Source organism: Homo sapiens, chromosome 10, assembly GCF_000001405.40.
Source record: "Homo sapiens chromosome 10, GRCh38.p14 Primary Assembly".
NCBI lineage: Eukaryota > Metazoa > Chordata > Mammalia > Primates > Hominidae > Homo > Homo sapiens.
Window position 1 is genome coordinate 53,796,375 of NC_000010.11, and position 15,830 is coordinate 53,812,204.

General features: G+C 33.9%; 1 protein-coding gene across 10 annotated transcripts in view; it reads right to left on the reverse strand.

The window, feature by feature from the left end:
* Positions 6,397–15,830, reverse strand: part of PCDH15 (protocadherin related 15) — a 1,825,172-nt gene continuing 1,815,738 nt past the window's right edge. For 4 of the 10 annotated variants that reach the window (XM_047425663.1, NM_001354420.2, NM_001142772.2 and 1 more), the window contains 2 exons: positions 14,182–14,290; positions 6,397–10,756 (listed from right to left, as the gene is read on the reverse strand). In XM_047425663.1, coding sequence (XP_047281619.1) covers positions 10,205–10,756; positions 14,182–14,290 — 661 coding nt within the window. In that variant the 3' untranslated portion in view covers positions 6,397–10,204. Of the gene's footprint in view, positions 10,757–11,695; positions 13,173–14,181; positions 14,291–15,174; positions 15,246–15,830 lie in introns of those variants that run through there. The other 6 variants (NM_001354429.2, NM_001384140.1, NM_001354411.2 and 3 more) reach the window with 4 other exon arrangements.

The following is a 15,830-nucleotide window of genomic DNA, read 5'->3' on the forward strand; positions in this document are numbered from 1 at the left end:
TCCTGTCATTATGATGTTAGCTGGTTATTTTGCTCGTTAGTTCATGCAGTTTCTTCCTAGTCTCGATGGTTTTTACACTTTGGCATGTTTTTGCAGCAGCTGGTACCGGTTGTTCCTTTCCATGTTTAGCGCTTCCTTCAGGAGCTCTTTTAGGGCAGGCCTGGTGGTGACAAAATCTCTCAGCATTTGCTTGTCTGTAAAGTATTTTATTTCTCCTTCAATTATGAAGCTTAGTTTGGCTGGATATGAAGTTCTGGGTTGAAAATTCTTTTCTTTAAGAATGTAGAATATTGGCCCCCACTCTCTTCTGGCTTGTAGAGTTTCTGCTGAGAGATCCGCTGTTAGTCTGATGGGCTTCCCTTTGTGGGTAACCCGACCTTTGTCTCTGGCTGTCCTTAACATTTTTTCCTTCATTTCAACTTTGGTGAATCTGACAATTATGTGTCTTGGAGTTGCTCTTCTCGAGGAGTATCTTTGTGGCATTCTCTGTATTTCCTGAATCTGAATGTTGGCCTGCCTTGCTAGATTGGGGAAGTTCCCCTGGATAATATCCTGCAGAGTGTTTTCCAACTTGGTTCCATTCTCCCTGTCACTTTCAGGTACACCAGTCAGACGTAGATTTGGTCTTTTCACATAGTCCCATATTTCTTGGAGGCTTTGCTCGTTTCTTTTTATTCTTTTTTCTCTAAACTTCCCTTCTCGCTTCATTTCATTCACTTCATCTTCCATCGCTGATACCCTTTCTTCCAGTTGATCGCATCGGCTCCTGAGGCTTCTGCATTCTTCACGTAGTTCTCGAGCCTTGTCTTTCAGCTCCATCAGCTCCTTTAAGCACTTCTCTGGATTGGTTATTCTAGTTATACATTCTTCTAAACTTTTTTCAAAGTTTTCAACTTCTTTGCCTTTGGTTTGAATTTCCTCCTGTAGCTCGGAGTAATTTGATCGTCTGAAGCCTTCTTCTCTCAGCTCGTCAAAGTCATTCTCCGTCTAGCTTTGTTCCATTGCTGGTGAGGAACTGCGTTCCTTTGGAGGAGGAGAGGCACTCTCCTTTTTAGAGTTTCCAGTTTTTCTGCTCTGTTTTTTCCCCATCTTTGTGGTTTTATCTACTTTTGGTGTTTGATGATGGTGATGTACAGATGGGTTTTTGGTGTGGATGTCCTTTCTGTTTGTTAGTTTTCCTTCTAACAGATAGGACCCTCAGCTGCAGGACTGTTGGAGTACCCGGCCGTGTGAGGTGTCAGTCTGCTCCTGCTGAGGGGTGCCTCCCAGTTAGGCTGCTCGGGGGTCAGGGGTCAGGGACCCACTTGAGGAAACAGTCTGCCCGTTCTCAGATCTCCAGCTGCGTGCTGGGAGAACCACTGCTCTCTTCGAAGCTCAGATGGAAATGCAGAAATCACCCGTCTTCTGCGTCGCTCACGCTAGGAGCTGTAGACCGGAGCTGTTCCTCTTGGGCCATCTTGGCTCCTCCACCCCTTTCTTTCGTGAAGTGATTTTCCCCCTGCACACTTATGTAGTGTCTATTATATGCAAGAGTTGTTCTAAAAGCTTTACAAAAATTAACTAATTTAATCCTCATAATAGCCCATAGGATAAATACTATTATTTTTCTCATTTTACAGATAAAGGATTTAGCTAGATAGTAGTAAAGCCAGGATTTGGACCAATGCGATCTTGCTCAAATCAAAGCTTAATCACTAGGCTGTGTTTCTTCTTTGTTAGGTGGTTAGGTGGCATGACTGTGAGAAAATATGAATTACACATTCATTAATTTAATATTTTCAAAATATTATTTAAGCTCATTTTTTTCCTAAGGTATCAAAATGAACAAGAGGATATGGGAAGATTGTGTAAGTCCTGAAGATGGTGAGAGATGAAAAAGAGGAGAAATCCACAGTAGAAGAATAGGTGGTGCTAACTTAAACACGAAAAAGAAGAGTACATAATAACATTAAGAAATGGTCCTTGGGCTTAACAATAGAAAGGTCCATTAATACATTCATTAGTGAACTAAAGTTTGAATCCAGGCCTTCTATGCTGAAATTTTCTCCTGCTTCCTATTCTTCATATTCATTATGAAGTCCGCTTTTCATCTTATATATAACATTTAAGTGCTCTTCTCTCTTGTTTAGATTTGTTTGAAGTGATTGCAAATTGTCTATGTGATAAGACAGAAATAGGTTTATTAATGATTTAGTTCTTGCCTAAAACATAGGTTTATTTTTCTATTTCCTAACCCCACACCATGCAATTGCATTTTATGAAAATGTGAAACTGAATTATTGGTAGTTTTCTTTAAATATGTCCCTTAATTCCCTTACATTTCTGGCCTTTGCACAAAATGGCCTTTCTGCTTAATGAGCATCTTACTGAATTCTCTTGGTCTCTCCTCTTTTCCCATTGTATGCACAGGCTTGTCTCTTTGACCACTTTCTGTGGTCCTTTAGGCATCAGCCTTCTTGTGAAGACTTTCTTTCTTTTTTTTTTTTTTTTTTGAGAAAGAATCTCCCTCTGTCATCCAGACTGAGTGCAGTGGCATGAGCATAGCTCACTGTAACCTCACAATCCTCGTTTCCAGTGATCCTCCTGCCTCACCCTCCCAAGTAGCTAAGACTATAGGCATGTACCACCATGCCTTGCTAACTTTTTTTTTTTCTTGTAGAGACAGGTTCTTGCTATATTGCCTAAGCTAATCTCAAATTCTTGGGTTCAAACAATTCTCCTTCCTTGACCTACCAAAATGCATGAGCCACCACATCCAGCCAAGATTTTTGATTTCCAGAGAAAGTTTCTGCTTCCTTTTTTGAGAATGAAAGTAGTTACTATTAACAATTGCACTAGTACAACACATGTAAGCCAAGTCTATACTGGCTTGCAAGAACCAATTTTGAAATTTTCAAGAATTCAGCAAACTGGCTATTAAGCCCATCAGTGGCTTGAAATTGACTATGGTGGGTGTATTTGTATCATGGAAATCTACAAACACAACAAATCTGTTTTTGTTATTGTTTTGTATTGTTCTTCTGGAGAGCTGGTTTATCAGCACATCTATGAAAATAATACATCTATCATACAAATATATAAGTATTAATATAAAATGATAATATGGTTAATGTAATTAAGGTAACTTAGGCAAACAATTAAGGTGATGCTATATTCTTCATATTTTTACCCACTTTATAAAAGACAGTTTCATTTCTCTAAAAAAATTTCCCTATAGTCAGGCTAGAACTTCAAGGGAAAAAAATCTGTATTCTGAAGAATTAGGTCTGCATTTACATACGCTATCATCAGCAAACAGCACAGTTATAGAACTATGAAAATTGCAGACCTTTACAACCTGGCCTTTGATTAATGACTTAATTAAAGTAGGATTAATATAAATCTTTTGGCAAGAAAGAATGCTAGTGAAAGTGGAAAATATTCTGGCAATTTACCCTTTTAGCAATCATTGTAAGAGGCATTGATAACAGGATGATAGAGTCAAACACTTGAAGAACTCCTGGAGGAAAGGCTGATGTTTGCAAGCTATGCAAAAAGAAACAAGAAGCAAAGAAATAAAATTTGAATGACCACTACTAAGCCAATGTATAATATAACATACTTTTAATAAAGACCCTTAGCAAAAATTTCTCTCAGGTCTTGGTAGCGGGCAAAGCTGACTTTCCATCATTAATTGTTTCTAACTTTATGCACACTATGAATCTTGTAACTAATCCTGTTTGTTTTCCTTTTTTGATCTGATGTCTGGGAGATTAGAGCTATATTTGTAGCCTAAATATTTAATGTATGGAACCATGAGGGCATAAGTGTGAATGCTAACCCAAGTCCCACGTTTACTCTTCTCTATCTTTATTTTCCTTTTGTCTAATTCTTTTACCTTTATTTCTTCTTTTGTAGTGTATGCATTTTTGTAAATCACCCTAAGACCTTTTTATTCTGAAATGGGGTCTAAATAAATAGCACAGGCATGAGATGGGCACAGCAGCTAGTTCTGTAAACCACAGTTGCAGTGCTGGTTTCAAGGGACTATTGTGCCCATTATTTCAGCTTCTGCTAAAAAAGGCCCTAGCATACTGATATCCAAACTAATTTTGTAGTTATGAAAATTAAATAAAAAAGGTTGGGATGTGATCAATGTAATATGGTAACAAAGGAATTACTAGAGGCCAAGATTTATCCTTCAAGCCCCCCTGTAGTTACTAACATTGGAAAATGACTGGTTAATGACATGCTGGTTGCTTGGGCAAATTATGTCTTCCTTGATGTCAAGGACAATGATTCTTTGGGTAAACTTTTCTCCCAGTAACAGGAATACGATGGTAACCTAATGATGCAGTATAGATGCTTATTTTTAGCCTATACTATTACTCCACAATCTAAGTTATAGTTACGATAGTTCAACTATACATGTTAGTGTAAATAAGGCTTTACATATTAATTTTAACAGTCATATAGTATGTGTGATTTACTTTTAAAAGGCAAACATTTGTTCCATCAGAATATATACCTTTAGGCTATGTATTTAGCCATCATCACTCAGAAAGACCCCAAAATGTCTTAATATTATGTGAATGAGTGCTTGTACCTCTGGAGAAAAGCTGTGGCATCTAATATTGATGTTAATTCAACGGGATAAATAAAATACGACATGTAAGAGTCCATAAAATCAATATGTTGATATTGATATACTGTTTTATTTCTATGAATTTAAGTGTTTTTGTACCTAAACTAATTTAAATATAAGTATGTATTGATTTATATCATTTATATACACTTTAGCTAGCTAAAATGCCCCCTTTTCTTCTCATTGGACTATAACTGATATTTTTACAAGGTTAGAAAATTCAGAATCCTTTATAGAAGATGGCAAGGTAAAGAAATTTGATGGGGAATAGGAAACAAAGGGGATACATACAGAGTTACAGATATTGATATTTTAAAATCAGCTTTTGTCCGTAGGCTTATTTGTGTAAATAATTCTGCTGGGATTAGAGAGAAATAATAGGTAAACACGGCCTAGATTTTGAAATAAACCTAGCCTGTTTCACAACAAATCCAAAAGAGCCAGTGTTAATTCAGCAATTACTCTACATTAAAGGCATATTTAGGGTAAGTACTTAAATTGAAATGTGACATATTTTAGGACAGACTTCTAAGTATTTCTTTGCATTCACAGACATGAAGCCGCTGAAGTCTTCAGTGTAGCCCAGACTTTGTGTGGTGCTCTTTTTAACAGTGTTCACTTTTTAAAATTTTAAACTATGCAATAGGCCAATTCAAAAGACAAAAAAATACTACAGTTTTATTTTACTTCTCTTTAAAAACATATACATGTATTAGCATGGGGAAGATATTGTATTTTCTTATAACTTAAAATATCTACTATGTAAGGTAGGTAAATAAAATTTACACTGGCATTTAGCCGGACAATACTAGAATCTGGCTAAATCTGTGGAGAAGAACATGAAGGCAATTTTGTAATCTTTAATTCTGTACATATACCTTTATAGAAATCACAATATGTTCAGATTAAATATCTGATTTTAGCTCTTAATTGAAGTGGATGTTATTATTGCCATTTTACAATTTTTACTATAGGGATAAATTATAAAATGATGTGCCAAAGGTTACATGGTGATAGGGCTAGAAGTAATTCATTCTATTTAATGCAATATTTTTCTCAGCAGCTGTTGTTTATGCAAATAGTCATGCTGGGCACTGGAAATACATGGTATACAAAATTCTGTTCTAACAGTTGTAGAGAAAAAAGGCAATAGACCAAGAATTCTGTCTATGTCCAAGTTGGCTGTTTTAGAAAATTTATTTCTCTCATTCCTGATTATTTGAGATAAAAGACAACTGAAATTATTATATCATCAACTGCATTAGAAACTCAGGAAGCTGCATGTGACCAGAGAAATAGGAGCATATTTTAACAGAGAAAAAAGAGACAGAGAGAGGGTGGGTGTTGGGGGTAGAGAGAGATAAATTATGAGTCTCTGAAACGTCAGACTCAACCATGTTAAAATATGTAATTTCACGTTGACTCTGCTTCTTGCCACATTTATGCTGCCATTTAGCATTTCTATAAACATAATAAACTGATCATATGTGAAAACCTTAATGTTTATGTAATTACAATTTTTTTATATATAAATGAATAGGTGGTATGTTAGGAAACAGTTTCCATTTTTCTTAGAACTTTGTGGCATGAGTACATGATTGAAATGGGAAAAGAATGGGTAGAAGTTTTAAGATACACTTCTTTCCTCCACATTGTTCTAAGATAAGAGGTTGCAGAGCAGGCTTTTATTATCAGGCTGAAATACTCAACATGTAAATGTGAAAATAGTTACTGATTTTTATCCCCACCTGACAGAGTAATGAGAAATCATCTTTTCAAATGAAAATTTATTTTTGAAACATTGTGTAGTGAATAACAATGCATTTTAACTTAAAACTTCTAATTCAGATTCTTATACAGTAACATAATATTTGTTAAGGAAGAACAGGTATTTGGATAAAGAAATTGGGAAAGCAGTGAAGGTGTTGATAGATTTTTCAAACTATAGACAATGTTCGAATCTTCCATACATGTGCTTAACTGACCATAAATTTAAAGTAGATTGCAATGAAAAAAATACCAGTCTATAACTAAAGCTTCTTATGATAAAGATCAAAATTAACTATTGAAAACCAATAAAAAAAATAGAACAAAAATTTCACATACCATTTGGGAATAGAAAGAAACTATCTATAAAATGTGTAAGTCCTCAACATTATTTTGAACCTATCCTTCAGCCTTATCGCTGTGTAATTTGCAGGCACCAATAGGCATCTGCCCTGAGAATAGATTATTAGCACTTTTTGCCTATTTTGCTAATTAAATTCAAGTGGTATATAAATCCCACTTAAGGTATAAAGTGCAGAAGGTGAAGCAGAGAAAGAGAAAAATCAAAGCTCATGAAATAAAAGACAGAAAATGTCTTCCCTCGAGAGTCAATATTCAATTACTTCTGGCTCTATGATATAAAAATGTTTTTAAATAATATTTTAATGGTAACTACTGAATCACCTTTGGAACAACCACTTAAGTAAATAATAGTCTTTAACATCCCTGTGAACAATGTGGTAAAATAACATGAATGACATATCACATATAAAATTCAAGGCAAACTTTCTTCTGTATTTTAAAAAGATGGTTTTGGCCAACCTACGGTTGCAATTCTATGACAACTCTCAGAGTCTGTAATTAATGAGAAAGACAAATTGAGAGAGGGAGATTAACACCTGTGATTCGATGGTCATTAAGTCACAAATGTCCTATGTCACTCTGACCATATTTTCTCATTCTTCCTCTGCTTTCCCTTAATGCCCACAAGACCTTCTAAAATCAACGGGTTGCAATATTAGTCATTACATCATTCTGTTCTCACCTCGATTAGCCAAGACCTGCTGTTTCTTCTGCCTGATTGAAGCTAGTGCTGATTGAGAACAACAAGAAAACCTTCCTACACCTTCCTAGGAAAAATAACAACCAATTTCTTTATAAATATTTACATTGAAACGTTATTTATATGAAGTATTCTTAAGATTAAACATACCTGGGTATTTCCTCTGGGTTCCACAGTTTTAATCCTGAGTCAGGGATTTATAGACTAGTGAAAGTTCTATGAAAGTAACTATTTAATTGATCCAGATTTATTTAGTTAGTAATAATTTTGCTGCTCTACGTTACCCAAAAATATACTGACCAAATATTTGGTTTGGTTGCTCTGTGTAAATTCTGCTTCTCTTTATACTATCTCCATTAAGTAACAGATGATTGACCTCATGATTGTTTTTACTGAAATGATCAAGTTTAAATTACTGAAATGTGTCTGCTAAGTGGCTTGTAAAATTTTGCATATTTTCTCATAAAAAATGTAGTTTAAAATACAGTGACATCTCATATGTCAGGCCACTAGACTTCTGCCAACATCATATTTCCAAATCTACTGGTAACCAAAGAAAGCGTCTAAGAGTCGCAAAACATTTGGTTGAATCCGTGTACCTAATTCCCATCTTAAGCTTCATGATTTTTCAACATTAAGAAAACAAACAAAAAACACAAACTTTCCCATCAGGATACTAGAAGCTATAAACTGAAAGAAAAAAATGTGAGAAAGGCACAACAACAGAATAAGTTAAATGTCACAGCCAGAAATCAAAGGACAAAAACGCAGCCATGAAGCTGTATATAGAGAGAATATCAAGGGATGCTGACTGAGATGATCTGGGGGTATCAAGATAATATTAAATTATATTCGATGACCTCTGATTGAATTAGTAGGGAAATATATGCTTAATCTAATTCCTATACAAAGTATCCTATACTAAAAACCATTGCTTTGGTGCCTGAAGGAATAAGCCCCGGACTTCATTGCTTCCAAAATTTAATGTGCATATAAACCACCTTAGGATCTTTTGAAAATGTGGATGCTTGTTTGGCAGGCCAGGAGGTGTGGTCATGATTCTACGTTTCTAATCTAGCTAATGCCACTAGGTTTTTTTTTGTTTGTTTGTTTTGTTTTGTTTTTTTGGCAAGGGTATGGAATGCATTAATTCTCAATAAAATAAGGTAGATGAGATGTTACTGTATTTGATCTCAAATATTTTCTTGGAAATCTGAAGTAAAAACATACTACTCTTACAAGTCGGCAAGTTTATGTCAGTACAATTCATTCACTTTGGAAATGAGGAAATAGCATAATAATAAACAATTTTTAAGACGCGAAACATGTAAGAGGGGAATAAATAATAGTGCATTATTCAGTCCTTCAACCATATATTAAGCATGCATGAGGAAATTTCATTAAAACCTGAACTTGGTCAATACTGTGCAAAATTTGAAGTGAGCTACATCTATATCATACTAAGTAATATTCAATAGAATTCTGAATTCTCTTAATCTATATTGTTTCATTCTTTTTACATCATCTGGAAAATAAGCAACACACAAGGCAAGTTTTTTAAAGGATATTCTGTTTTCATTTCTACTTATGATGAAACACTGTGCTTTGTTCAATGGTAAAAAATCAAGACCATGTTCTTTGATTTTAAAAAATGCCCAGGCAATGATTTCCTGGTTCTGGATTTTAGGCACATAAATATGTGCATTAAAATATTCTATAAATAACCTGAAAATGGAAGAAGTTAAACACAACATTTGAAGTTATGAATTCATAGCCTTTATAAGCTTTATATATTATATACATTTCAACCCTGCCAAATTCCTTTACTCTGATATGCTGGGTTTACAAACTATTAAAGTCTAGTGACATTAATGTGAGACTTCCCTAACCTCACCATGTCTTCCATTATGAAATTGTCGTTCTAGATGCATTACTGCTTACTCGAACCTTTCTCACTTCCCTAAAAGCTTTTGCTAAGGGTGAGATTTCCATGTTGCTCCAAACAATTATTTAACCTCAAGTGATTAAACTAAACTAAAGTATCTACCATATTTGATATGAGATGAAGGGACAAGAGAATATTGTAAATAATATTGATAAAAAGACATACGACTTCAAGTGGTTTCCTAAAGGGTCAAGATATAAATGTATTTATGGTAAAATGTGAAAACCTTTATACAGGACAATAAAGAAAGAAAACAAGCTCATGATTTAAAATAATTAATTATTTACAGGTGATTCCCTCATTTACTTTACTTTGCAATTCTAGCTTTCATTTTAAAAATTAGGGCAGTATAGACAGCAGCTGTATAAACTCATTGCCTGTAAATATCCTCTTACTTCTTTTTTGCCCTTTTGGCTATGGAAAATAAAATTACATGTACTAAAAATGTTTTGTGGAGCTAGAAATAAAGCATAATCTATGTTAATCAATAAAATATAAATGATTATTTAGTAATTATTTCTTGTTTATTAAAATGAACAAAAATTCAAGACCCAACAAAACAGCTAAATGTTTAAACGATAGGTTATTTAGTGAAAGTATGTCCAAAAGGATTTTCTGGGAAAAACGATTAATTGATAACAATGTGAGTGCAAATCTGTCTCTTAAAATTTTAAAGCATATTGTTCAAAGTTTTAGCTTGTGTGCATGATATAAATTCCATACATTGTTTTCTCAGTGACAATAAAAAGCACAGTTTATTAAAAATGTAAGTAAAAATTAATTAAAATATCTTTTAAAAAATTGGTCACAGTTTTGTCATTGGTATATGGAGGTTGTTCCAGGGGCCCATCCAAAGCTCTTCATCATCAGACTGTGTGTGGTCACTATGAAATTCCAAAGCCTCCTTGATGTTCTTACTGTCAATCATGGACTCCTGTTCAACTGTGCTTTTCAGCCTGTTCCTTAGTGGCTTCACCGCTGTATTGTCAGTCCCCACAGGGCAAGGGGCAAATGTAACCAGAGTTGGTCTTGCATTCATTTTTTCAGTAGAAAATGGCCCCTTTGATAATGTGTTCAGAGGTACATTCTCCTCATGTGTCACTGCCAACTTGTCTAGTTTCTTAAAGGGCCCTCCCAGTCGAACAGGGGAAGCAACTTTTAAGTTGTCCGTGAGGCAGGCACGGCGGGTTCTCACCACAGAACCATTCTGTGCAATATATATATTGCCGTTGATATTACTGTGGATACTAGGATGGTGAAGACGGTTTCTCTGACATTCAGGAGCACTGTCTTCTCCAGTTGAGCTGGTTTCATACTCTCGATCAACAACTAACTTGATCATTCTTTTTCTTGCCCACTGATAAAATAAACAAAAATATGTGAGTCACTATCAAATAAATTAAAAAGGCAATGATTACATTGCCTGTGAAATCCAAAACAATGACATTTAGAAAGCTGTCAAAGGTAAATCACTCAAGAGAGATAGAAGGAAGCCAGTCTTTATTAACATACATTTCCTTTCATCAATCCTTTATTGGCTTTAGATCTTTCTTATTAATGTTTGAAAAATGTATTGTTGAGTTGGAAAGCAGACATTTCAGGAAACACATGTATTCTTTTAGATCAAATTACTGATCCACATGGAAAAAAATGTATTACTTTTATTTAAGGAGCTGATCCACTATTTGACAGCTGCTCTACTATTCAGGAAAGTTAAATTGAAAGGAATGAACAGCTTTAGTATATTCTGTTCATATTAACGCTTCTATTCCCAATATTTAAAAAATATTTTTAAACCACATCATTCTAATTTTTAATGTATTCTCTAGTTAGCGAAAACTTTTGTATAATTTAATGCATTTTGTATAATTTAAGCATTTATTTACTTGACTTTACTTATTTACTTGATGTATAATTTAATGCATTTATTTACTTGACATATCCTGGTTTTCTGGGTTGTCCCATTTAGATATACTAACTTAAAAGGAAATATCTTCTCAGCCTGCATCATTTACCTAGTAATACACAAAACTGAAAGCTAATTATTATACTAAACTTTCCTTTTGTAAGCAACTGGACATTTTCACAAATTCATTTGACTTTTACCAATCAACATTAAAAATAGCAAGAAGCAAGGGTTAAGCAATACTGTGTTTTTCTCAAAATAGTATCGCATTTTTGGAATATGTGAACTATCAACACATTGCATGCATTCTCATTTTCAGAACTATATTTCAAAATTATAGTTTATTTACCTAGAAAAAATTTTATGCCTGTTACATTTATTTTTAAATCCACTGTAGCTAATAATAACAGAAAATAAGCTGTAATAACTTTTAATTAATTGAAAAATGTTATTTCATTGAATTCCTAATACTTGAAGTTGCAGATACAAACTTACTTATTTGAACATGTTCATGATAGTTTTTATAATACCTTTGCCAGTTGAAACGTACATATATGCAAAAGTAGACGACTGTTAAAGATATAATTTGTTGAAGCTTGTCTTAGTATTTATTTTGAAAGATGATATAAAAACATATATAGTGTGTGTGTGTATATATATATATATATATATATGCCATCCATTCCAATAGACAGAGTGTCACTGATAATACATAATGCCACATTGCATTAACAAAAATCCTACCAGTAAATATTAAATATTGATTAGCTGATTGCATGTGTTCTGATTTACTAATATAGGAAGGATTAGTCAGTTTTACTCTAATACAGTCTAATATACAAATGGATTTGGACAACATATATATTCACTTTTCTGGCATGCTTCTGATCATAAGTCATATCAAAATCTTGATCAATTTCCTCCCTTTCAAGTGTCACTTTGGAGAACACACAGAAGGCACTGCACACGAGAGCACTCATCACAGCAAAACTTCCACCTACTGTGATCTCTTTCAAAGTGCTGTGTTGTAACCTTCAGAGTTTGCTCCTGGCGACTTCTTTTGGTTTGCATTCTTGCTTCTGTCATACGCTGGTACCTGATAGCCCCATGGACCTCCAGACTGACTTTCGCTACTACTGCTACTACTACCTGATTCTGATTCCTCCTCACTTTCCACACCTCCTTCCACCGAAGCTGATTCTGCACTGCCCTCTTCAGGGATATCTTGAGCTTCAGGGTCTGTACTTTCTTCCACAGGGGCTGGTCCACTTTCTTCTTCTTCTGAGTGTTCTTCTTCTTCCATCTTAGGTTCTTTTTGTTCTTCTTGTGGCTCCTCTTTCCTACCCTTGACTTCCTTGACCTCCTCAACCATGGGCCTTCTTCTTGCAAGCACAATGTTTTTCCTTGCTTTTTCTCCTTCTGACTCTGTGGATTCCGATTCTTCTGATTCAGGGGTGGAACTCTCCTCCTCCTCAGAGGGTGTCTCTGACTCAGATTCCTCTTCTGTAGTCTCAGACTCACTGAACTCAGACTCTTCTTCACTGTATTCAGTATAGTCGCTGGAGGATTCCTCCTCTGATTCTACAGTGCTTTCTGTTGCTTCCTCTTGGTCCAGAGTGAGTTTCAAATAATCTTTATCTTCTTCCTCAAGGCGTCTCTGCCACTCTTCACCCTCAAGGTCAACGATTCCTCTTTTATCAGCTAATCCTCTAACTTTCTTAAAAATCATGGGGAATATTCTGGCTCTCTTCCATGTTGTGTATGTAGGCTCAGCTGCTGGTGGTTTTTCGATAGTTACAACTACTTCTTCCTCCTCACTAGGCTCTCTAATTTCAACCTTTGGTTTTTTAATTTTCTTTGGCTCTTCCTGAAAATTGTGAAAATGCAATTGAAGTGTCAGCTTGGAGATAGCTATGGTATGACCTTGTCCCACGAAAGCTACGCAGGAATGAATCTGTGGGTGATAGCTTCATGCATGTTATATAACTGGCTTAAGAAAATAATCACAAAAATTTCTACTGCATATAGACAGAAGGTGATTAAGAGAAAGTAAATTATTTTATTTTAGCTTGTACTTTACAATACCCAAATATATTAATTTCCTTCTTGTTACTCAACGTTTAATTTTCCTCTTAGATCAAATAAAAAAGAAAGAATTATTGTCTCTTCCTTCCTTCCTTCTTCTGTCACTAGACTTAGGTTAATAGCTTTCTGTATTCCCTTGAACTAAATTTTCAAGAATTTTCAATAATCACGAAAATATGACGATTTATCTCATTTTATGAGAAATCTATTTTATGAAATTTTGCACATGTTAAAGCCACAGTGACATTTATTTCTTGTTAGTGTTGTTTTTGTATAAATTTGCCAAGTAAATAGTGAAGACAAAGTATAAGAATTTTATAGAAATGAGTCATGCTAATTTAAACATAAATTACATTATTCCTTGAAAATTATTTGTGGAAATAATTTACTTTTCTCTGATAATTGAAAGGTGGAGACTATATTTTTTCATGACTTTTAGTTTTGCTAGATAATGTGGGAGCAAAAGTAACCTTTGTATTGCAGAACTTTAAAATATATTTGCTTATAATATCTTTATGGAGCAAGATTTAGAATTTTAGAAAACATAATTTTCATTGTGCCCTTTCCAAATGTTTAACACTTTTAGAAGGAAATAAATTAAATGATCAAGAATTAATTTTCCTCCAAAGACAAGGCAATGAAACGGTCAGCACTGTGAAATTTCTATGGGAAATACGTACTAAGTGAAAGGAATTTCTAAAAGCTGAAATGTTCTACAGCCGCTAGTCACGTAGGGTTAAACAATATTTTTCTTGGAATATTATCTTACATAATAAAATTACAGTAATTACCTCTTCCTCCTCATATTCTTCCTCAGCTTCACCAACCACCTCACCATATTCCTCCTGTCCAGCTGGTGGTAACAATCGACGGCGACTCCCATATTGAGGCATTTCATACCTGTAATATAAACTTACATCTTTAAACAGTTTGTCATGTGATTTCTGTAGAATCTACCATGAGTGATCTGTTTCCTTCTTTTTCTTCCGCCATTCAATCGACAGATATTTACACAGCACCTATCAGGCTCCTTGTAAACTAGTTACAAAACTATAGAGTAAGAACTGCTACCTGATGACCAGTGATTTTTGCCATAATGGTACCCTGGAATAACAATAAAGAGAGTTGAGTTATTTCAGATACTCGTTTTTGGAGAAACTAGAACGAGAAAAAAGCCATATTGTGTCTTAACTAGCTGAAGAATCCAGAACACAAAATAGATACTTTGGAACAGTGTAATGGCTCATTCACCACATTAAATCTGTATGTTGGTAGCAAGAAGTTGCTTCAAACATGGTCTGTAATGGTTTTCACAATTTCTTCAGTATTTTTTTTGAAAGTGGTTAATTTATATGTGTACAAGTGACTTTTGAGACACTTATCAGTGGATTCTAAGGTGTGTTTTCTGTTTCCTAACTGCTCTTGGGCAAAACTTTAAACTGATTAGATAAAACATTAACATCTTATATGAAAGAAATGGTGAATTTAGGAATTGAGCAAATATGTTTCACATCTATTTCCCATATAAATAATTTTGAATAATTTTACCGCATTTCTAGAATTGCAATCGATATCAATGTAAAATATCAATATGGAACTCAATATAGAAAAATGGTTAAAACTTGGTTAAAAATAAAGCTAGATATACTATTCATTTTCAAGTATTATACTAGTGAGATCGACATGACATTAAAAACAAATTCTAGTAATAATAATCATTTAATAATTTCCTATTAATAAAATATTAAAATAAGAATCTGAATTTTAAAAATCTGAAGATGTACCCATGCTCATAACTGTAATAATCTTGTCCATATTCCTGGCCAGGATCAATTCCAGACTCCATGGATAATTCCTATTGTTCAAAAAGAAAAATTGCATTTGAAAACGAATTCTTATCACGTTTCAGGTCAAAGTCAGATTTCTACACCTAGAATTCCATGATTCTCAAAACATTCCTGCCAAAATAACTTTAAATACAAGTGTCAGTTAAAGCAATTAAAATTACTCTATTTAAAAGTGTTAGTCAAATCTATTCATTTTTTTCTGGCTGTAACCATTTGATACAAAATAAGGTTATATAATTTGACCTGAAGAGGAAAAAGTAATTTTTTTCTAATGGCAAACCTGTTAAAACTTGCAGATGAGCATTTTCACTTGTTTTTGGATGTCTTTTAAAATTATCAATCAATAGTTAATATTTAACTCAATTTTAAGTTAAATTATTAAGTGATGTTGGCCTTAAGAAAAATTATAACACTATCTACAGCATTTTTTTTCATCTCCCCACTAACAGTTTTCTAGTACCCAGTATTCTTCTATTCATTGAAACTGTTCTGATAAAGTCATCTGAGAACAAGAATTTAAGTTAATGTGTAATGCTTCCCAAGGATGTTTATACTTTAAAACATACTGCTGATTCTAAATTTAAGGGTTTTTT